This window comes from Homo sapiens, chromosome 15, assembly GCF_000001405.40.
Source record: "Homo sapiens chromosome 15, GRCh38.p14 Primary Assembly".
Lineage (NCBI taxonomy): Eukaryota > Metazoa > Chordata > Mammalia > Primates > Hominidae > Homo > Homo sapiens.
In genome coordinates this window covers 53,742,351-53,766,044 of record NC_000015.10, presented here as the reverse complement: position 1 = coordinate 53,766,044, position 23,694 = coordinate 53,742,351, and the positions used below count along the sequence as shown (strand labels likewise).

General features: G+C 39.0%; 1 protein-coding gene and 1 pseudogene across 8 annotated transcripts in view; one reads left to right on the top strand and one right to left on the bottom strand.

The window, feature by feature from the left end:
* On the bottom strand, positions 1,735–1,841 carry RNU6-449P (RNA, U6 small nuclear 449, pseudogene; annotated as a pseudogene).
* The window catches only part of WDR72 (WD repeat domain 72), a 249,138-nt gene continuing 228,610 nt past the window's right edge, over positions 3,167–23,694 (top strand). For 2 of the 8 annotated variants that reach the window (XM_047432345.1, XM_047432342.1), the window contains exons 1-3: positions 6,382–6,412; positions 6,664–6,744; positions 9,228–9,378. The gene's annotated coding sequence lies outside the window, so the exon portion shown is untranslated. Of the gene's footprint in view, positions 3,395–6,381; positions 6,571–6,663; positions 6,745–9,227; positions 9,379–23,694 lie in introns of those variants that run through there. The other 6 variants (XM_011521436.3, NM_182758.4, XM_047432344.1 and 3 more) reach the window with 5 other exon arrangements.

Genomic DNA, 23,694 nt, shown 5'->3' with positions numbered 1-23,694 from the left:
AGATTATAAAGTAAGTCATCATTGTCTGGCTAGCCTTATTAATGTGATGGGAGGAAAGGTAGGAGGTAGTTTTTAAAATCAGGACACTTTTCTGAGAACCACAAAGTATTCTAGGAACACAAAGTTGAGTGTCTTCAGAGGCCAAGCAGGTAGTATACATGGGTGAAGACTACAGGGAGTGGCGAGGCCTGCAACATTCAAATGCCAGTTAAAAATAACAGCACCAATACCAAGCCAACCAAACAAATCACCTTCCAGTGTCCAGTTTGGCTTTCACCTGCCAGCTTGCTCTTCCTGCTGATGTCTAAGCTCTAACTTGCTTTTCTTTGGGAAAAATAAAGATGTAAGGAATGAGCAAGTTAAGGGAATCCTTGTGGTTCCTTTCTTTTTGTTCTCCCTTATATCCTAAACTAAGGATTAACTGCACGACCCCTTCCATCATCTAAAGAGAGAGACAGAGGGCATGCTCTCTTCATCCTCTCCCATCTGTTACACTGAACACATTCTTGCTGTCCAAGGCAGTTGGTCTCATATGCATCCCCTCTAGGGGCATGTGTTAGGGGCACCATGTTTCTTTAAATAGGCTGTCATTCCGGGTTTATTATTAGCCCAGTTTTGATCATGCTGTGTTGAGGCTACCTGTGCCTCGACAGTATAGAAATTCATACACTGGAAACAAGACCAAATAGGCACAATACTTCCCAAAAATTCTTTGTGGTTTAGGCGATAACATCCATGTTTGGGTTTGAGATATTCAGTGCACTATTAATTTTTCTTTATTCAAAGGAGAAAAGGCCTTTTCAGAAACATTGCTTTAGAACCTCCAATTTTATTCAACCCTGCCTTGAATGCCAATTCTAGATGAGTTTTTAATGACCACTTCTCAGTCCAAGGATTAAGACCAAAGAAAAATAAGGATATTTTATGGCACTTATAAACTGTGTTAGTTCATTGCATTCCAAAATGCAGTTTGTTCAACAGCGTGATAAGATACAACTTTTCCTTCATTCAGTCTTCTATTCACTATTTACCAAATAATTATTGAGCAAGGAGATGGTGAACAAACAGACATAGCCCCTCATGGAGTTAATAGTCAATGTAGTACATCAAATTTGCAAACACTGAGAATATGTATATTTAATCCCCAGTTAAATATTTCCTTGGTGGAGAAATTGGCTCTCACACACTGATGGAAGCATTTGCTCCAACTATTAAAAATCAACTTGGAAAGTTGTATGGAGAGGCATAAAAAATAGGGATACATTTTGACTTAATAATTCTGCTTCTGGAAATCTGTCCTAACAAAATATTCAACACAGCATAATTTAGTTAAAATTTAGAAACAAACACCCAGCAAGTGGGAAGCATGGGAAGCAGTCGTATTACAAAGCATCTATTTGATGGTCTATTATGCAGCTATTAAAAAGGATAATTATGAAGACAATGTAGCAACAAGGTAAACTTCTTATAATGTAATGTTTAAGGGAAAGGATATAAACTGTACCTGTATAACATTACAAATACATAAACAAGTACTTTTTCAGTGAAGCAAGAAAGAAATACACTGAAAAAAAGATACTAAAGTTCTTTTAGATTGCTATTGTTTGAGATATATATTTTTTATCTTCCTCTTCTATATATTTATTTTAATGTATATTTATTTAATCTTGGAAAACAAATTATACTAAAAGTCCAATCCTCTTGTTTTTTAAAAAATTATGATTTATTTCACTTTGAAAAATGGAATGCTTCATACATTTGGATGTCATCCTTGTGCAGGGGAGATGTTAGTCTTCTCTGTATCATTCCATTTTTACTGTATGTGCTGTCGAAGCAAGCACAAAATGAACTCTTCTTAAAGAAGTGGGGAAATTATGAAATTTCATCTGAATGGGTGAGATATCAAATTGCATATCATGTTGTTTTTACTTTAGAACTTATGGAGCTTTTTCAGTTATAATATCATATGCTACATGAATAAGAAAACAAGAAATAAAGGGAGGAAGGGATAAACTATTGCTATAACCAATACCCACTGTGTCAGGACCCAAGAAATACATATAGGTTGGTACACAATCAAAGGTCTTATTTGTGTGCCGGAACTTTCAGAAATGAAGCCTGAGAGACCTCTATTTTATCCCATAAGTCAGGCACAGGAAGAGCCCTGAGTCCAGTCAAAGAAGTAGCAATGAATAAGATGTGTAATAAATGAGGTGGGCATGTCATTCTGTCAGTTGCTTCCTACTGACTAACCAAGAGCAGATAATTCTGCTTCTGAATTCATTAATTTTGGCAAAAGGTATCTTGGTCTACCTAATTCAGCTTCTCCATTTAACAGTGAGGAATCTGAGGCAGGTTCACATTATGATTTTAGTGTGCATTTTTGCTTTGGGGAGGCCTCTTCATTTATAAACAATATTAAAAATTATATCTTACAATGTCAAATTAAAAATATAGACTTGGGTAAGCAAAGACTTTTATTCTAAAGGAGTATTGCAATGGAGAGAAAGTGACTTGCAGTAGGAGGAAGGGGACTATTGCAATTAGAAGAAAACTTTGATCCTGAGATATACAAACCTCTCAAAGGTTAGGCAGAAAAGGTCTTTTCTTTTCTAGGAAGGAATAAACAATACTGGAAGTAACAGGATGTCGAAAAGTGGAATGAGTTAGGGTGAATGATCTTACAGTAGAAAAGAGAAAATTCTACCCTATGATCACCCGATTTTCAGGAGGGGCTCTTAAGGAGGGGTTGTATCATGGCTCAGGCAAAGGGCAGGTCAAAGCTCAGGGGCCAGGAGAAAGAGAGAATTCTAACTAAAATTGGGTCAAGTCAAGGTAGCAGATATTCTGTCCACATTGGTCAGTGGGTGAAACAGTTCAGCTAATCATTAATGATGCAAAGAACGGAATGGTGGAGCGTCTATGTTCAGCTTTGTCATTAAAAAAACAAGGTTGGCATCAGCAAGTCTTAACTAAGTCACATGGGGGAGGATCTTTCCTTGTATAAGCTGTTTTCTGGAACACTAAAGAGTGGGAGGGTTCCTTTAACCCTTCATGTTTTCCAGGATCACAGGACTTGGGTAAAATTCAACATGGTCAGTGACTACATTGGTACAAAGACCAACACATTAAAATAATATATTACAAGACTTTCTTTGACTTAAATGTTCTTTTGTTCTTTTCTCTCTGCCCCCATTTTGTGGGCCCCCAAATTATTATGGGTCCTGGGCACCGTCCCTAATGGATAAGCCAGCCCTGATCTGAGACACAGAGAGGCTGAGGGTCTCTAAGACCACTAAGCTAGCTACAGCAGAGCTCAGACAAGAGCAACTAGGTCTAGACCTCTTTCTACATTTGCGACTATGAAAACTATGGAGAAGGCTCTGCTCAAGAGGTAGGATGAAGGCTTGGGGATGAGGGGATGTGTGGGGATATTAACTTTGATATAAGAACCTGCAGACTTAGAAGGAAAGGATTGGTGAGGGAAATTCATTAAAGAGTTGATGGCTGGGAATGCCTTAACCGTTGACTGTCACAGGCACATCATTCAACAACATTTATTCTGTATCTCCTACGTGCTTGGTGTCCCTGCCTTTACAGAGCTTACAGTCAAGCAGGGGAGGCCAATGCACAAGCAATGGTAGTCAGTTGTGACAAGTGTAATGACAGAGGAAGCAAGGTAATTAGGAGTGAGTAACAAGCACATCTAACCTGCAGGAGGGAAGTGAGAATCCAGAATGGAAATGAACCAGTCCCAAAGGATGCAGAAGGCGAGAGGAGTGCTCTAGTAGGAAACACTGCATGCAGGAAGACCCAGGATATGTGAAGTTTAAGAGATGGAAAACCTGTGATCTTACTTGGGCCTGGCCAAATATCCTTAATATTTGGGAAGCCAGATATCAGTGAAAAAAAGGAGGAGTTAAAATCTCTCCCAACCTGCTTCCAGGAGTATTAGAATCCAAGACTAAGGAGCCAATAGGATTTGGAGGGTAAAGTCATGTAACTGAGAAACCTTAAAAAAAAAAGCAGTGTCTCCCCACCCCACATTTTACTAAACCACCCAGTCATTCAGTTTAGGTACTTAGTCTATTCACAACAGGCTAGGATGCTGGTTTCAATGTTGAATTTTTCACCCACTCTTGATACTTTTAATGGCTTTTCCCTATTCAGAGGCTGCATTTTTTGTTTTGTGGGTTTTCTGCTTTGGGTTTTTGTTTTTGTTTTTGACAGAGTCATGCTCTGTTTCTCAGGCTGGAGTGCAGTGGTACAGCTAGCTGCAGCCTTCAACTCACAGACTCAAGTGACCCTCCTGACTCAACCTCCAGAGGAACTGGTACTACAGGTGCACAGCCACCACGCCTGGCTAATTTTTGTATTTTTTGTGGAGATGGGGGTCTCCTCCTATTGTCCAGGCTGGTCTCAAACTCTTGGGAGCAAGCAATCTATTCACCTCAGCCTCCTAAAGCGCTGGGATTACAGGCATGAGCCACCATGCCTATGCAGTCTTGAGGAAAACGTCCTTCCATCCCTTACCAAAAGATCTTGGATATATTGATTTCTTTTCTTTTGTGTATATATCCAGCAGAGGAATTGCTGGATCATATGGTAGTTTTATTTTTATTTTTTTGAGGAAGCTTCAAACTGTTCTCCATAGTGGTTGTACTTATTTATATTGCCACCAACAATGTATGAGGGTTCCCTTCTCTCCACATCCTTGCCAGCATTTGTTATTGCCTGTCTTTTGGATATGAGCCGTTTGAATTTGGGTAAGATGATATCCCATTGTAGTTTTGATTTGCATTTCTCTGATGATCAATGATGTTGAGCACCTTTTCATATGCCTATTTGTCATTTGTATGCCTTCTTTCGAAAAATGTCTTTTTGGGTCTTTTGCCTATTTTTATATTTATTTATTTATTTAGAGATGGAGTCCCACTCTGACACCCAGGTTGGAGTGCAGTGGTGTGATCTCAGCTCACTGCAGCCTCCACCTCTCGGGTTCAAGTGATTCTCCTGCCTCAGTCTCTGGAGTAGCATCGACTACAGGCACACACCACCATGAGCAGCTAATTTTTGCATTTTCAGTAGAGACAGGTTTTCATCATGTTGACCAGGCTGGTCTCGAACTCCTGACTTCAAGTGATTTGCCCACCTCGCCCTCTCAAAGTGCTGGAATTACAAATGTGAGCCATTGTGTCTGGCCTTTTGCCCATTTTAAAACTGAATTATTATATTTTTTCCTATTGAGTTGTTTAAGCTCTTTAGTACCACCACTACGGAGAATAATTTGGAGCTTTCTCAAAAAACTAAAACTAGAACTACCATATGATCCAGCAACCCGATTGCTAGGTATACATCCAAAAGAAAGAAAATCAGTATATCAAAGAAATATCTGCACTCCTGTGTTTATTGCAGCACTGTTCACAATAGCCAAGATTTTGAATCAACCTAAGTTGTCCATCAACCGATAAATGGATAAGAAAAATGTGGTACATATACACGGTGGAGTACTATTCAGCCATATAAAGAAAGAGATTCTGTCATTTGCAACAACATGGATGGAACTGGAGATCATTATGTTAAGTGAAATAACCCAGGCACCGAAAGACAAACTTCACATGTTCCCACTTATCTGTGGGAGCTAAAAATTAAAACAATTCAACTTATGAAGATAGAGAGTAGGAGGATGGTTATCAAAGGCTGTGAAGGGTAGTGGGGGGTGGGGGAGTCGGGTGGAGGTGGAAATGGTAAATGGGTAGAAAAAACAGAAAGAATGAATAAGACCTACTATTTGGTGGCACAACAGGGTGAATATAGTCAATAATAATATAATTGTGCAGTTAAAAATAACTAAAAGAGTATAATTGGATTGTTTGTAACACAAAGGATAAATGCTGAGGTGATGGAAACCTCATTTACCCTGATGTAATTATTACGCATTGTTTGTCTGTATCAAAATACGGCATATACCCCATAAATATATACACCTACTGTGTATCCCCAAAAACTTAAAAAAAAAAAAAAAAAAGGTTGAGGCCTCATCTCTGCCAATGCCTAGGGTCAAGAGTTCACGTCACCTGGGCTCTTTTGATCTAACCCCCCCTAACTAATTCTCTCCAGCCCTGAGAGGACAGGCAACCGCAGGCTGCTGGCGGGCCTTTTCCAGCCGCCACCGCAAGTGAGAGAAGGAGGGAGGGAGGGAGGGAGGCAGCGGGTCCAGGTTGCAGGAAGGGAGAGCGGGTGCACCCGCCCGCGGGCGGCTGGGGCCAGAGCTAGCCCGGTCCGCGCGCTGCGGGGGCAGGACCGGGGCGGGGCGGGGCGGGGCGAGGCGGGCGGGGCCGGTACCCGTGACCCTAAGGGCGAGACCCGCCAGCCTGCCTGGCCTCTGCCGCTCCTCCGCCCCACGGCTCAGGTAAGGCAGGCACCCCCAGAGCGCAGGTCGGGCTGCCGGGTCCCAGGCTGGTGGTCTTCGTCTGCCCCTGGCTGGTGCAGCCGCACGCCTTCCCGCCTTCAGAGCACGGCGCAGGAGGGGACGGCCCGCGCTTGGATACAGCTGGGCCGGGAAAGAGGGTGGGCGTGCGCAGCGCTATCTCTAACCCCTTCCTTTGCTCTAAGTTCTTGCACTTGGAAACTGGAAAAGTCCCTCTTCAAACTCTTTTCCAGATGTGGCATCAGGAGTGAACAAAGCCGCTCATCTCGCAGTATCCCTACCTATGCTCCTGGGAGGAGTCTACCCCAGATACGGTTAGGGACCTGCCTTTCCCTATTAGGATAATTTCTTGGAACTTGGGAATTGGACTTCTATGGAACGGAATCGATTGAATTAATTTTATTTATTTATTTATTTTTAAAACTTTAATTTTAGGTCGAATTAATTTTAAAGCTGAGTTCAAGGGCAGGGAAAACGACCGGGTGGGCCTAAGCCTGCTGGGGTGTGACAGCTTGGGGCTGTGGGGACGGGGGCTGGCGAAACTTTCCTTGCTCTGCCGCTTGGGCTGAGTCGGCAATAAAGACTGCGGGGACAAGACTTTTGCCCCTTGTAAGGTTGGATGAGAGGCAGGAAGATAAAGGGGGGACTGTCTGTGCTGACAAAATCTGGAAAAGGTGATGCACTGGGAATACTTCCTTTTGGAAACTGGTGCTGACTTATACCATCTTCCCCACTTATTATAGCATTTTTGTATCCATTTCAATACAGTTAACGACGTTCTGTTAAACAAAACGTAGGTGTATGGTACGTTTGTCTTCCCCCGCCCGCACCGCCCCCCCCCCCCCCGCAGTTTTGTGTTAAATGACTTCAAGGTCACCGATTGGAGACTAGGTCACCTGTTGGGGATCTTTTTACCTGAAGTGTTTTCCTCCACCCCTTCCCATTGTCACTGCCAAAACACCATTCCTTTCTTCCCTGTTCAGCTCTCACCACTTACAAACCAGTGAAAAGGAAAGCGGCCACTTCTGTCATGCAAGTACTTGTGGTTAAGTTGGTCTTGTGCAGCTTTTTTTTTGTAAACATCACTTGTTCCTTTGTCTTTTTTTAACTCCTTCAATATTAAAATGTGCCAATAGAGTCTTCTGTAAAGAATGTAAAAGGCTGTAGGAGAAAGGGAAACTGCCCTTGAAGGTGTCTAGTAAAGTGATTTTTTTAACCTAAAAATTAATATTTTATATTGAGTTCCAAAGCTTTCACTTCTTTTGGAAAAGGTATTTTAAAATTATAAGTATTTTGTCAAGAAAATATTAACTAGGCTGGGCGCTGTGGCTCATGCCTGTAATTCAAACACTTTGGGAGGCCAAGGTAGGTGGATCGCTTGAGCTCAGGAGTTCCAGACCAGCCTGGGCAACATAGCAAAACTTCATCTCTACAAAAATCAGCTGGGTGTGGTGGTGTGCGTCAGTCCATAATCCCAGCTACTAGGAAGCCTGAGGGAGTTGGATGACTTGAGCCTGAGAGGTCGAGATTGCAGTGAGCCATGATTGCATGCTTCACTGTACTCCAGGCTAGGTGACGGAGAAAGACCCTGTCTCAAAAGAGAAAAAGAGAGAGAGAGAGAGAGAGAGAGAGAGAGAAAATAAACTCTTAAGTTTCTCCCTGTGTGTGAAATCTTCCATTAACGGTCTCTACCCAATGAACTGAATGCTTTAGAAATCTGACGTTCTAGTTTATACATGCCTACTGGAATGGAAGAGTGCATTTGACTTGTGAAATAACTTAAAGGAACCTTGAAAATAATGGTATCAGTAAGATTTTAAGATTTCAAGTTTGTTGCATTCAGATATCTTTGTAGCTTGACAATTCATATACTCGAAATTTCTGTTATTTAATAATAATAATGTTAGTAATAATGTTGCTCACAATAGAGGATGTCCTTTATGAATAATTCTTTTTTTTAATTTTTAATTTTTTGTTGTTGTTGTTGTTGTTGAGATGGAGTCTCACTCTGTCTCCCAGGTAGGAGTGCAGTGGTACTATCTCGGCTCACTGCACCCTCTGGTCCCTGGGCTCAAGTGATTCTCCTGCCTCAGCCTCTCCAGTAGCTGGGGTTACAGGTGCCTGCCACCATGCCTGGCTAATTTTTGTATTTTTAGTAGAGGTGGGGTTTCACTATGTTGACCAGGCTGGTCTCGAACTCCTGACCTCTAGTGATCCACCTGCCTCGGCCTCCCAAAGTGTTGGGATTACAGGCATGAGCCACCGTGCCTGGCCATTTAGGAATAATTCTATCGCTACATCATAAAAGGTACCTTTCTGGAGGCCTTTTCTATATGTATGGTTATTTTTTCCCAGTTGTTAAGCTTTGTAGATTCAGTTCTTCTCTAGGCTGAATTGGAAGCAGGCAGATGTGGTGGAGACCTGGACTAAAAGTATCTATCTGTGCACTGAGGTCTAGGCCCAGGTCAGCTTTGAAGTCCTTGCAAGACCTCTTCCTAATCAACTTTGGGGACCCAGGAGTTTCTTTATTTACATGTGTCACGTTTATCTTCAAAATGAGAGAGATATCTTTGGTCTGAAAAGACATTTGGGCCCCTTTGAACTTTTCTAAAAAATGCAAATTTTCATTTACAGAGCTAGATATCATTGCTGTAGGGGAACACTGATTCCAGAATTTGCTCTCATTTCCAGAGGCTGTCCTCACATGCTGACCACCACCTCTGCCCCACCTAACCAGCATAGTGCAGTGATTAAGAATTGAGTTTTTCATAGACTGATGGATCTGTTTGTTTCCTAGCTCTGACCTTCGGCAAGTTACTTATGTTCTCCAAGACTCATTTTCTTCATGTTTGGAATAGTGATAATAATGCATATTGATATTATGAGGACCGCATGAAGCAGTGAACGTAATCTAAGCAGCACAGTGTCTACAACTTAACATATAGTCAGTAAGTGGTAGCAATTGTTTACTTTGACACTGACTTTTCCTCTCTCTCTCTGTCTTTTTTTTTTAACAAGTTGAAATTCAACTGGGAGAAATGTAAAGCCCTACACAGTAAGTGTTTAAAACAATAAGCGAGTACAGGATGAGGGAGATGTAATTTACTGAACCAGTCAACCTTTTGGTTAATTGACATTTTGTTGCTTGTGAGTCGGCAGTGAGTTGTGAGGGCCCATGTATTAGTCCTTTCTCATACTGCTCTAAGGACACTGCTCTAAGACTGGGTAATTTATAAAGAAAAGAGGTTTAACTGACTCACATTTCCACGTGGCTGGGGAGGCCTCAGGAAACTTACAATCCTGGCGGAAGTCACCTCTTCATAGGGTTGCAGGAGAGAGAATGAGTGCGGAGCAAAGGGGGAAGCCCCTTATGAAACCATCAGATCTCGCGAGACCTTACTATCACGAGAACAGCATGGGGGAAACCATCCTCATGATTCAATTACCTCCCACTGGGTCCCTCCCACCACATGTGGGGATTATGGGAACTGCAAGATGAGATTTGGGTGGGGATGAAGCCAAACCATATTAGCCCAGAAAGCTGATATGATTTTTAGATTGCTTTAGTATAGATTAGAACACAGAGTCCTGTGAAATCCTTATTCTCCTTAGGGTATCAGTACTCCTACTTTCTTTGTTACCACTTTCTTATGTTAAGAGGAATAATGAATTTCAGAATGGGGGAGTGAGAAGGTGTGGTTGATAGAGACTACCTTTTCTATTAGAGACTGAGCTATGCCCCCCACTTTTTTAGACTGGATATGTAAATTACCAGCTGAATGTTTCAGTAATTGGACTTCCTTGGAGAAACTCTTCTTGATCTCCTCCCAGCAGGGTTAAGTGCAGCCTCTGCTGCGCTCTCTACCTGCTTTGTGGGAACCAGGCCTAGCCCTTCTCTTTCTGCGGTAATGGAGGCCCCATGATCTGTCAGCATCATGGGACAGGAAGTGGGGCCTTCATCTCATTCTCAAGAGGAGAACAGAGTCAAGAACACAGTAGGTGCTTTATAAATCTTTGTTAAATTAATTAACTGCCACTTCCCAAACCACTGTTAAAACAAATTGCTTTATTTTCTGTGATGCATTGCATAGTTTTCTTCTCTTTCTTAAATGTGCAAAACCCTGTGCTAATTCTATATGCCCGCTTTTGAGAATCTATATGCCTGCTTTTGAGAAATACAATGTATTTAGCTGTAATTATTATTTAAAATTGAAAATAAAAATAATTTGTAATAGCATCATTAATTTTTAGTTAAGGGAAATAATGAATGTGATGCCTAATAATCCGTTATGCCACATAGGAGCACAGATAATTATTTCTCCTCTTGTTGAGGAACTGGGATGTAAGCATTTAAAGTATCTTCTTTATATGCATTTTGATTTCCAATTGAACAAAAAAATATAAACAGGAAGGACTTCATTCTTTTTTCCAGTGAGATCACAGAGATAAACCAAGTTAGAGCAACTCTCTTGAATAGCTAATAGCTGTCGCCTGGGGAAGGAGAAAATTATTTTCTGCCTTCCATGTTGATGTATATAGAACATGTGTTCTGAGTAGCTCCTATTTTCACTGCCTCTTTTTCCAGTTGAGGTGCAACATAAACTATTTTAATTAACATTGTGTCACCAAAAGGGGTTGAAATAGCCAATTGAATTCTGCCAAGATAGAGTCTTTTGATGAAAACATATCTTTATTGATTGTGGATGAAGAAAATCATTCTTAAAATGAAATCCAGAGAAAAATCATATCCCTCAGAGAAAATTTCTGAGTGGCAGGCTGAGATTAACATCATAAAATTGAATTTGTGCTGCAAGCCTTTGATGTAATCAGCAGCTGGGAGATGGTGTTGCCCTTGCTGTGCTCTCTCTGATTGTGGTGAATTATTGTGTGGAATGAAATAAGTGTTTCTTGTGTCCCTCCTCCAAGAAATACAAACAAGGTATTACCAGGTAGTTTCTTGCTAGTTAAAATGGGTTGGATCGATTCCAGGCCTCTCAGGCTCTTATACACCCATGAACTATAGGTGTTGGATATTTATTTATGCCCTAGGGACAGAATTTCTTTATATCACTGGACAGTGACTTCTTTGGTCAGTAGAAATCAAGCAGAGAAGAGGGATCCCCTTTGCCACGGATTTTTTTTTCTTAGAATAAGCAGAGGCCAGGATGTTTTAGAAAGTGCCATAGTGCCACATATTGCCTGGTTTTTGTTGGCCTGTAGGTTCAGGCAAGCCCTTTCGTGTCTCCCTCTGCTACCTCTTATGTCATAAACTGCATTGCAGTCACCCCAATGTGGAAATCTCACATTGTGTATTATGAGTCTTTTTCCATGACACTAGTGTTACGATGAGCTTTTTAGTGTTTTTGTATTAAGTTCTGATGCTTTGAAAACATTCTGGCCCATGCATACACTTCCACATACATAATGAATAGGTTTTACAGATTAAGACTCTTAGACTAAACAGTCTTTAGTCTAAGAGTGATTTGGCATCTTAACCACCCCTGTAGTTGAATTTAAGTTGTGTTTGTTTTGTTTTGTTTTGTTTTGTTTCATTTTCTTTAAAGAAATAGGTGGACTGGCTTGTCTGTGTGGAACTGTAAACAGATGATGATGTCATCATTATGAATTCTCACTTTCAAGGCCTTTAAGAAGTGGTATGGGCTTTGAGGTCATACAAATCTAGGGATGTAATCCCTAGGGATGTAGTCGTAGCCAGGGGATTTAGATTTACCTAGCCTTCTTTTCCTAATAACAGTAATGGTAGATGTGTGGATTACTTGAGAAAATGCATAGGAAAGCCACCAGCACAAGGTCTGGAACACAGTTGGCATTCAGTAAACACTTGCTGAATTGAGTATACAACACTGTGCCTTAACACTGAGAAAAGAGGCAAGGATAGTGAAGACAGAAGGTGGGATGTGTTTAGGAATAAGGGAAAGTAGGAAGAGCCAGGACTAGAGAAAATTTTGAATAATCAAGTGGTGAGATAGGGACTATGAAACAGAGGTGGGGCTTATCTTGGCTCATGACAGAAAATCCACAAAGATGTTCACAAAAGCTACAAAGGCTATGGTTCCTTCAGATTATGAGCCTCAAATCCTGTACTTCCTCTACCACTTTTTCCAAACCACCTTGGGATTCTGCATTCATAGCCTTGCTGATGAAAGTCTGTTTTGGCCTAGCTTCTGCTAGAATCCTTTAGTGCAAAAGGTGAGTTTAAAGTCTTCCCTGGCAGGTATTCCTGATTGCTAGGACAGAGTCAGAAAACACTAGAATCGTGGGCATTAGGGAGGCTTCTCCAAATAGGCCTTGTCCATATAGGCCTGTATTTCTGCCTATGGGAGTACCTGCCATTTGCTTATTCTAGGAGGAAAAATGGATTGTTATAATTACAGTGGACTGACTTCCAATGTCAACTTGTGCTGAAACTGAAAGAAGGGAAGTAGATGTCAGGGCCAAGGAAGAAGATAACTAGTCCTTGGAAGAACACAGTATTTTTACACGAGAAGCCAAAGTGTAAGGGATGACCCGTTGACAGCCATGGGAATGAAACTTGGTTTGCTGTTGTGCCTCGGAAATGCTTCTACCAACCTACTTTACGTTGGTTCTTTACATACTTAGGATTTGACTTATAGGTTGTGAATTCCTAGAGGGCAGGAACTTGTGTTTTTTCATCTTTCATTTAGTAGGGCTTTACTAGATACTAATTATTGAATTAATAAATGAATATATTCTTTTCTCAAGGAGCCGATAATGTAGATGGAAAGGAGATTTATTACACAAAGAGGTAGAGAATAGATTTTGGTATATGACCAATTGTGTGATTCAGACTAAAATTTAAATATATGTTTCAGGAATTGATACATGTGTTACTGAGATCTGCATTCTGACTCGAAAGAAACAAAGTCTGTCAAATGCTGTATTACTTTTCTAGGAATGTATAACAAAGTACCACCCACTGGGTGACTTACACAACAGAAATGTGTTGTCTCACAGTTCTGGAGGCTGGAGGTCTGAAATCACAGTGTCAGCAGGGTTGGTTCCTTCTGAGGGTGAGACGAAGGTTCTGTCCCATGTCTCACTTAGCTTCTCGTGGTTTGCTGTCAATCTTTGGTGTTCCTTGGCCTGCAGAAGTCACCCCAACGTCTGCCTTCACCTTTACCTGACTTTCTCTGTGTGTGTGTCTGTCTGCACATTTCCTTGTTTTATATGACTACCAGTCAGATTGGATTAGGAGCTCACCCCAATCCAGTATTACCTCATCCTCACTTAATTAATTATAGCCACAATGAGCCCATGTCCAAATAAGGTCATACTTGGAGGTACTCCGAGTTAGGGCTTCAACATATAAATTTTGGATAGGCTCAATTCAACTCATATTAGATGAGAATGTGGCAGATTTTTGAAAAAATCAAATTGTTTTTTAAATTTAAATTACTTTACTTTGCCAATTTGATACTTTTGAAGTTTTATCTTTATCTCTCCTACTTAATTCACTTAATAGATGGGATCTACTGTAAGTTATGAATGATAGAATGAAGAATTATAAATGACAAGAATTTCATTTATCGGAATATTGTTTACTTAGCAGGATTTATGTACAGATTTTGAGATTTGAAAAACCTTCTGATAATAGAGTCTAATATTTATTGAATGCTTACTAATTAATGATTTCCAAGGATTATTTACTCACATCAACCTTATTAGATTGATATTATTATTTATCCTCATTTTATTGATAAAAATCCAACACAGAGTTGTAAAATAACCTTCCCAAGGACATAGATTGGTAGAGTTGGCATTTGAATCCAGGCTCACTGACTGGAGGGCCTGACCCACCGGTACATGCTGTCTCCTTACTCATTACGGCTGGGTGCAATAGATAATTGATCCCCTTTCCTGGATGACAAAATAAGCTCATTGGGTCACAAAACCAGCAAATGTATAAGATTTGTGATTTAAACTTAGGCGTTACAGACATATCTTGGAGATATGGTGGGTTCTGTTGTAGGTTTGATTCCAAGCGTCTCTAATAAAGTGAATATTGCAGTAAAGCAAGTCACACAATTTATTTTGGATTCCCAGTGCATATCAAAGCCTATTAAGTATACGATAATATAATATCTAAAGTAACAATGTGCATACTGTGATTAAAAGTACTTTATTGCTAAAAAGTGCAAATGATCATCTGAGCCTTCTGCAAGTTGTACTTTTTGCTGGAGGAGGGTCTTGCCTCCATGTTGATGGCTGCTAATTGATTAGGGTGGTGGTTTGCTGGAGTTTGGGGGTGGTTCTGGCAATTTCTTAAAATATGACAATAATGAAGTTTGCTGCATTGATTGACTCTTCCTTTTGTGAAAGCTTTTTTTTTTTTAAAGTAGTCTCACTATGTTGCCCAGGCTGGTCTCAAACTCCTGGCCTCAGGTGATCCTCACACCTCTTAGCCTCTCAAGTAGCTGGGATTACAGGCATATGTCACTGTGCTCAGACCTTTTGTGAAAGATTACTCTGTAGCATGTAATGCTGTCTGATAGCCTTTTACCCACAGCAGAACTTTTTCCAAAATTGGAGTCAATCCTTTTAAACCCTGCTACTTTACCAACTAAGTTTATGTAATATTCTGAATGTTTTGTTTTCATTTCAGCTATGTTCATAGCATCTTCACCAGGAGTAGATTCCATCTCAAGAAACCACTTTCTTTGCTCATTCATAAGAAGCAGCTTCTCATCCATTTACATTTTATCAAGAGCTTGTAGCAATTCAGTCCCTCTTCAGACTACTTTTAATTCTAGTTCTCTTGCTATTTCCACCACGTCTGCAGTTACTTCCTCCACTGGAATTTTGAATCTCTCCAAGTCATCTATGAGGGTTGGAATCAACTTCTTCTCAACTCCCGTTAATGTTGATATTTTGACTTCCTGCTATGAATCACAAATGTTCTCAAGGCACCTAAAGTGGTGAACCTTTTCCAGAAAGTTTTCAATTGACTTTGTCCAGGTATATCAGAGGAATCTCTACCTATGGCAGCTATAGCCTCACAAAATGTATAGCTTAAATAGTAAGAGTTGAAAGTCAAAATTACTGTTTGGTCCATGGGCTGTAGAATGGATATTATGTTAGCAAGCATGAAAACAGCATTAATCTCTTGTGCATCTCAGAGCTCTTGGTTGACTCGGTGCATTGTCAATGAACAGTATTGTTTTGAAAGGATTTTTTTATTTTTTCTGAGCAGTAGATCTCAACAATAAGCATAAAATACTCAGTAAACTATTCTGTAAATAGATGTTTTGTCATCCAGGCTTTCTGGTTCCATATACAGAGCACAGGCATTATTCTTAAGGGCCCTAGAATTGTTAGAATGATAAATGAGCATTGGCCTCAACTTAAAGTCACCAGCTGCATTAGCCCCTAACAAGACAGTCAGCTTGTCCTTTGAAGCTTTGAAGCCAGGCATTGACTTCTCCATTCTAGCTAGCAAAGTCCTAGATGGCATCTTCTTCCAATAAAAAGGTGTTTCATCTACATTGAAAATCTGTTGTTTAGTATAGCCACCTTCATTAATTATCTGAGTTTAGAGCTTCTAGATAACTTTCTGTAGCTTCTCCATCAGCACTTGCTGCTTCATCTTGCACTTTCATTTTATGGAGGAGGCTTCTTTCCTTCAATCTCATGAACTCAGCTAGCTTCCAGCTTTTCCACTGCAGCTTCCTCACTTCTTTTAACCTTCATAAAATTGAGGAGAGTTAGAGTGCTGCTCCGGATTAGTGTTTGACTTAAGGGAATGTTGTGGATGGTTTGATCATCTTTCCTGATCATTAAAACTTTCTCCATATCAGCAATTGTTTCGGTCTCTGATCATTCATGTATTCACTGTAGTAGCACTTTCAGTTTCCATCAAGAACTTTTCCTTTGCATTCACAATTTAGCTAATGGTTTGGTGCAAAAGGCCTAGCTTTAGACCTGTCTTGACTTTCAACATGTCTTCCTCACTAAACTTAATCATTTTTGGCTTTGATTTAAGGTGAGAAAAGTGCAACTCTTCCTTTCACTTGAACACTTAGAGGCCATTATAGGATTATTAATTGACCTAATTTTAATAGTGTTTTGTTTCAGGGAACAGAGAAGACTGAGGAGAGGGAGAGAGGAGACAGGGGAATGGCCAGTTGGTGGAACAGTCAGAACAAAAACTTAATTTACCAATTAAGTTTGCCATCTTATATGGGCATAATTTATGGCACCCCAAAACAATTACAGTAGTGATATTTACGATCACAGACCACCACAACAGATATAATAAAAATGTTATTGACAAAGTTTGAAATATTATGAGAATTACCAAAATGTGATACGGAGACATGAAGTGAGCACATACTGTTGGAAAAAATGGTGCCTATAGATTTGCTCAAGGCAGGGTTGCCACAAACCTTGAATTTGTAAAAAAACACAATTATCTGAGAAGTACAATAAAATGAAGTTTTATTCCCTCCCCTGGGGGAAATCCTTCCCAATTTTGGCTTCGAGCTCTAATTGTGCTCCCTCCCTGGACACTCTTGCATTTACATTAACATAGCACCTATCACACTATGGGATGATTCAGGGCAGGCCTGTCTCCTTAGACACCAGTAAGCTCCTTGAGGTCTGTGACTTGCTTTGTCTTTCTTGTCTACATCCCTAGAATCCTTGCACAGTCTCTGACATGTAGCAGATAATAAATATTTTTAAACTAAATATATGTAAACAAAGGCAAAGGGACCAAAGAAGAGAAATCAGTTGAAGACAAAATAAATATTAATAAAGGAAGTAATTGAGTTGATAGAAGATGAAATCTGGAATAAAGGTAAAAATGTTATCAGAGGAGACTAGTATGGATATCTCAGAAGAAAATAATCTTAAAAATAAGAAAAAGTGATGGAATGTTGAAGTAATGAGGAAGCTCATGTATGAGAGACTTGATTTTCTTGGTTAATTGAAAGAAAGGATCATCAACTAAGAGTGCTGGGATATGAGGAACTACCTCAGTTAGGGTGGAGTTTTGAAAGGTAGAGGAAAGGATTTGACTATGACGGAGGATTAAAGCTACGTTTCCCAATGTGATTTTAGGTAGTACATACCAAGTATTTGTGTTAATAGACAAGTATTTCTTTTAATGTGTATTTTAAAAATATAACCTGTACATTAAACCTCATGATTTTATGGACACTTATGATTAAGGTGATTCCAAAACAAATATACTTATGTAGCTTAATTTCTTCTTACCTAAGTTTAATTAATACTTAAGGCAAGTTAATTTAAAGAGAGATATTAGGCAAACAGTTTTCCAGATTGTTTTTGGATATGGGAAAGAAAAACATGAGTCAAGACCAGAAATAGGTTTGCAGAATTTATACACACGCAAAACAATTGTTTTGTCTAGTAGCATGAATACTTAGTTAAAATTAATCCAAAGATGACTCCATGGTAAATATTTTGAGGGCAAGGATGGTGTTTTTCTGTTCTTTGTGTTCTCTGCAGCCCAACCCACCACCTGGCTATATTTAGTTCTCAATAGATATTTGTTGAATTTACTTAAGAATGGTCTAGGACAATGGTATTTTTTGTTTATGTTAGCCACATCTAAGTAAAAAAAAAAAAAGATTTTCACTGTAAATAGAGGGTTAAATGTGGTATAAGCTAAATACATATCCACTTCTTAAAGCCTGAACTTTGAGCTTTAGACAAGGGGATTGTAGTTTTTTCAGTTTGTTTGTTCACTAATTGAATATAAATAAAAGTGAGGTTACTACCCAGAAAGAATTGAATTGTTCTCTCATACTTCTCTTACCACATCTAATGCTCATTTCCTTGACAATGACTAGAATTAGACACCCTTGGCCTTTCTTTGAATGTGTCAGCTCTGTTGCACTACAGCTTATTGAGCGAGGAGGTGAAGTTTGAAGGCAATACTCTGTGAAAATCTTTGACTCACAAGTCTGGAAGAGCTGTGAGCTGTGATGGAAACCTCATCCATGTAATGAAAGAGATGTGATTTCTTGGCTGTTTTGCTTTATATGTGTTCCAGGTCATGAGTGTTTGGAATTCAAAGATTAATTTGCACATTTGTTTAATTCCTCCTTTGATCTCTGGGCTGTTTCAGCTTTGACTTTACCTGCTAAGATATTCTCTATCTAAAACACATTATTTTCTAGAGTTTACTAAGTAGCAGTTAATTACTCAGTAACAACATTTTTGGAGGAGCTTGGCGTTGATGTTGGTTAGGGGTTAATTCCGAAATAGTCATGTTCCAGTGGGTTGACCAGACAGAATGTTATGTGTTATTTAAATATGCCTTGGACACTCTTTGACCTCATAAAATTTATTTTTTTACCTTTTCTAAGGAGTGATCTAATTACAATCTGTTGATAAAATAATAACTTTGGCTTCAGGAGCATTTTCAAATAGATTTTGGGTGGACAGGGCTTCTGCTGACCCATGCCAGCTTGGACTGGTATGTTCTCATGGACTGAAGTCAGGCCCTATGGACTGCAGAGGCTGCTTGGTTCATAGTCTTCTACGGTTAAAGTAGATCTCATTCTGGCCTACCAGAACACCCAGTTACTTTCTCCAGCTTTCCTCAGTTTCCTTGAGTTCTTTGTTCCTTCCTAAAGCTCAACTTTGCCCTTTCCCAAACTGTTTCCACTTACTAGCTAGCTGTGTGACACTGGCCAAGCCACTTTACTCTGCTGTCCTATCTATCCATTTGTTTCATCAAGTTTATTAGGGTAAATTTATAATACATTTAATAAACTGCATACTTTTAAAGTGCACAATTCCAAATTGAGTGTACAGTTTTCACACCAAAGCTCTTTTTATCTCCACCTAAACTCAAACTTTTAAAAGCAAAACTCCCTCCTGGGATAAAGATGACCAAGGTATGTTTTCTGGAAAAAAAAAATCTTTAAGTAATTCATCTTTGCCCCTCACAGTACCTATGAGTTTTGAAGAAAGTAGGTGGGATTCTTCTCCACTTAAGAGATGGGATTCACAGAGGTCACATAACTATAAGTGGCAGATCTGAGATTCAAACCCAGGCCTATTTTATCTCAAAGCTCATATTATTCACTGCTGTACTATATTTACTTTCCTCTTAGTGTTTATTCTGGTTAGGATGTTATTGTCAAAATTCATGCATTGTAACCAGGAACTTTATCCTTTGTGTTTCTAGTGGGCTGTCCTCAGTCAAGGGGTTTGAGATTTGTCTATGTTTGTGAGGTTGGTAAAGCAGACTCAGTGTCTGGGTGTGTCCCTGAAGACAGCTATTTATGACAAGGTAAACAATTCCAGTGTCCAGTAGACACCACCCACAAAACCACATTTGCATCATACTCATTATTCTGCTACCCTCAGACAAGTCAGAAAGATAAAAACAAATTGTTACGGGGAAGAAGATGAAGGCGGGCTGGAGGATGGGAGCTGTAATGGCGTGTTGTCCTTCCTTGTTCTTGCCAGGTATTGTATTTATGGAGAGAGGATCAGGAAGTGTCAGTTCAGCTTTTAAAGGCAATGAAGGCCATGTTGGAGCCTGGATGAATAAGAGGTTTATTGCTCTTGTTTTGCTTGATTTTTTTCTTTTTTTAGAACAACCAAAATAACGAAGGAATTTCACATCGCAAATCCCTAAGAATTTCCGATGGGCAAGACAAGGGCATCTTTGCAATTGTGTGTAAGGAGCAAGTTCTGGATGGGCTGTTAGTAAACCTGGTTCAGTTTCTGTCTCGGCCACTCATTTCTTTGGTTACTTTGGCCAAGTAACCAACTTCCCTGGGCCTTCATTTACTCATCTGTAGAAGGAAAGAGCGGTAATTGTGATCTACAAGGCTCCTTTTTGTCTTCAGCTTAGAGATACCAGAGACCCTACTATGCCTACAGGTCCTAGTTATATTTGAATTTCAGATGAAAAATACGTATTTTCTATAAGCATGTCTCATACAATAAACAATAATTTTTAGTATAACCATGTCCCAAATATTACATAGTGTATACTATACAAAACTTATTTGTTGTTCATCTGAAATTCACATTTTACTAGGCATTTTATATCTTTATTTGCTAAATCTGACAACCCTAATTTGGCTTGGAGTCATTGATTTAAAGATCATCATATAGTTTAGAAGTAATAATAACAAATTGTATATTTTCATGGCCAAATATTCCAGCATATAGCCACAGTATTTTCAAGAAAAGAAACTGTAGTGTCAATACTGTAAAAGTAAAGGAAGGAAATCTCACACTCTCAAAGGTATTGCTAGAAAGTGATAGTCAAAATCTCTATCCACAGTACAAAATTATAGTGATTCATTGCCTCATCCAGTCAATTCATTCCATATGCTGAGTGCTGATTATGAACAAGGAATAATGATAAAAGTTATCTATGCAGAATCACCTATACCCCCATCAGTTCTCCAAGGTAATTTTTTTTTTCCATTTTATAGATAAGAAAACTGAGGCTCAAAGAATATTTGCAAGTTACTAAGGTGTGGGAAAGGAAGGCAAAACTTTATCTGACTCATTCTATTAATATTTTCTTGCCCTTTTTTTTTTTTTACAATAAAGTATAGTTTGAATTAAAATAATACAAATAGTGGCATGCTGGATACAACCTAATGATGAACTCAGAATCAGAAACTTTATATTTCTGTGTATTTTGGTAGAACATGAAGAGAGGAACTGGGGTGGTTACGTTCCCCAGAATATACTTCTTCCAGAGCAAGACTATGCTTTGGTCCTAGGAAGGTCACACCACCTTTCCTCCACTTCCTCATCAGCAGAATAAGAGTTCAGCTTTACATTCTTCACATCTCTTCCAATTTCTAGTGAACTCTTGCTTCAGTATCCAGGTCAAACACATCATATAAGAAATATTACTGAATGTCATCTATGTGTTAGGCAGTGTGCCAGGGACTAGGGATCAAACAATGAAAAGACATACCCACCTTTTTCCAGCTGTAATGTACAGTTTTGCAAAGTGTCCCCATGCTGGTGATTTGAGAGGCCCTATGGTTTAGGAGGTGATTGGGAAGTTAATGTTGCTAGAGTAGGTAGCCTATTGCTATTTCTATTTCAAAATATATTATTTAAAGAAATTTTCACTTTAAAGCAGAACAGTTTGGGAGCTGGCAGGTCATCCTGTGAGTGCGCAACAGTCAGTGGCTATCAGCAGGACTGCATTACTGGGAGGTTTATTTCTTAGACGTGGATATAGTTTTGTGAGCTCAATAATGGTTTGAGCCCTCTACGGCTTTAAATTATTTATATTTCTAGACAAGTTTTATGTAATTCAATGCTTCTCATCCTTCTTCATATCAAAGCATAAACATAGAAAATAATTATTTTCGTATACACCAGGTTGAAAGTTTCAGTTCCTCTCACCCCTATAAACTCTTCATAGCTCATTATGTACGATGGCATGCTGATGGGAGGCCCTGATTTAGCTGATTTGTATCACAATAGAGTGTTGGTTATAGAAAGGAGCACAGGGAACTCCGTTACTAAAATCCTGTGTCAATGAGAATGAAAACAGAAACGTTACTGCACATTTACTACAAGAAGGTATTCCTTTGATCTGAAGAGAAGATTCATTTGATAAATTTTTTTTTTTTTTTTTTGAGACGAGTCTCGCTCTGTCGCCCAGGCCGGGCTGCAGTGGCGCGATCTCAGCTCACTGCAAGCTCCGCCTCCCGGGTTCACGCCATTCTCCTGCCTCAGCCTCCCAAGTAGCTGGGACTACAGGCGCCCACCACCACGCCCGGCTAAGTTTTTGTATTTTTAGTAGAGACGGGGTTTCACCTGTTAGCCAGGATGGTCTTGATCTCCTGACCTTGTGATCCACCCATCTCGGCCTCCCAAAGTGCTGGGATTACAGGCGTGAGCCACTGTGCCTGGCCTGATAAAGATTTTTATGTGGAATATCAAGCTATCACTAGTACTTTAAAAATCAATATTAAAACCGGAAATCCTAATGATTTGGAACATTGCATATGGCTTTTTCTAGAAAGTAAAAATATTCATGAACTTCCTATATTTCGAATGGCTAAAAATCATTCGCAAGTAACGATTTGAAACATCTCTTATTTAGAAACAAATGTGGAAATTATAAACATGAACAGTTTTACTTTATTAACTATAAAAGGTAGGAAGTCCCAAAATATATCACAAATGCTGTTTTGGTCTTATTTGATATATACCTAAATTTCAATCTATATTAAATATGTAATACTAAAATAACATGCTTAAATTTAATATTATGCTTTTATTTCATCGTTATGTATAAATTGCAGTGATCTATATATAATTAAACTCTATAAATTAAACTCTATAAAAATCAGCTTTTTAACACTTTCATAATTATTACACCTAAAATAAATTTTTTCTTAGAATTATTTTTTTCATTATGCCACCAAGAAATGACAAAATTGTATACATACATAATGTGAAAATGGTAGGATATACATAAATGCAACTACATAACTAGCAAGTAATTCATTTACATTGTTTTTTTACCTACTGGCTGTGAGCTTCCTGAAGCCCATTCATCCTTTCATCCTGAGAATCCAGTGTGGTATCTGAGTAGGCTGCAGTCAAGAATTTGTGTAGGAATTATTTGAGAGTTACTTAAGAGAAGTTTTATGTCTGTATGTTTGGTTGTTTATATAATTATTTCCATAGCTGTATTGATTATATGATAAAATGTTGATTACATTGCTTATATGTTACAAAATGCAATATCAAAATATACTTAGTACTAAGATGTACTAAGTACATTTATTTACTATTTGTATTTACCAAGTATTTACGTACAAAGTGTAATGTACTACAGTATTGTTGTTTGTCCTGTGACTAGAGATCCCCGTGAGAGAAATTCATTTGACCTCTATAATATAGTCTCTAACTTTATCCCTATCTGTGGCTATGATGCCTATTTTTTTTTCTTAGCCAAAAGGCCAAGAAGTAATGCTATATTTCTTTCTCAGTGTACACTTATTTTCTCCAGTGAAAGTATTTATTTTGAATTGCCTTTAAATAGATGAGATTTAAAAATTATCCTACAAAATCCTACCAGCTTGCTTTAGACACCCAAAATATCATTCAGGTACTCAAATTTGGTATACAATAATTATAAATTGAGGGCTATGATAGAGGTTTGTAATCTTTTTCCAAAGACTTCTTTAAAACTTGTCTAGACACATAATTATTTGAAACACAACAGGTGTACTTCTGTCAGGAACATA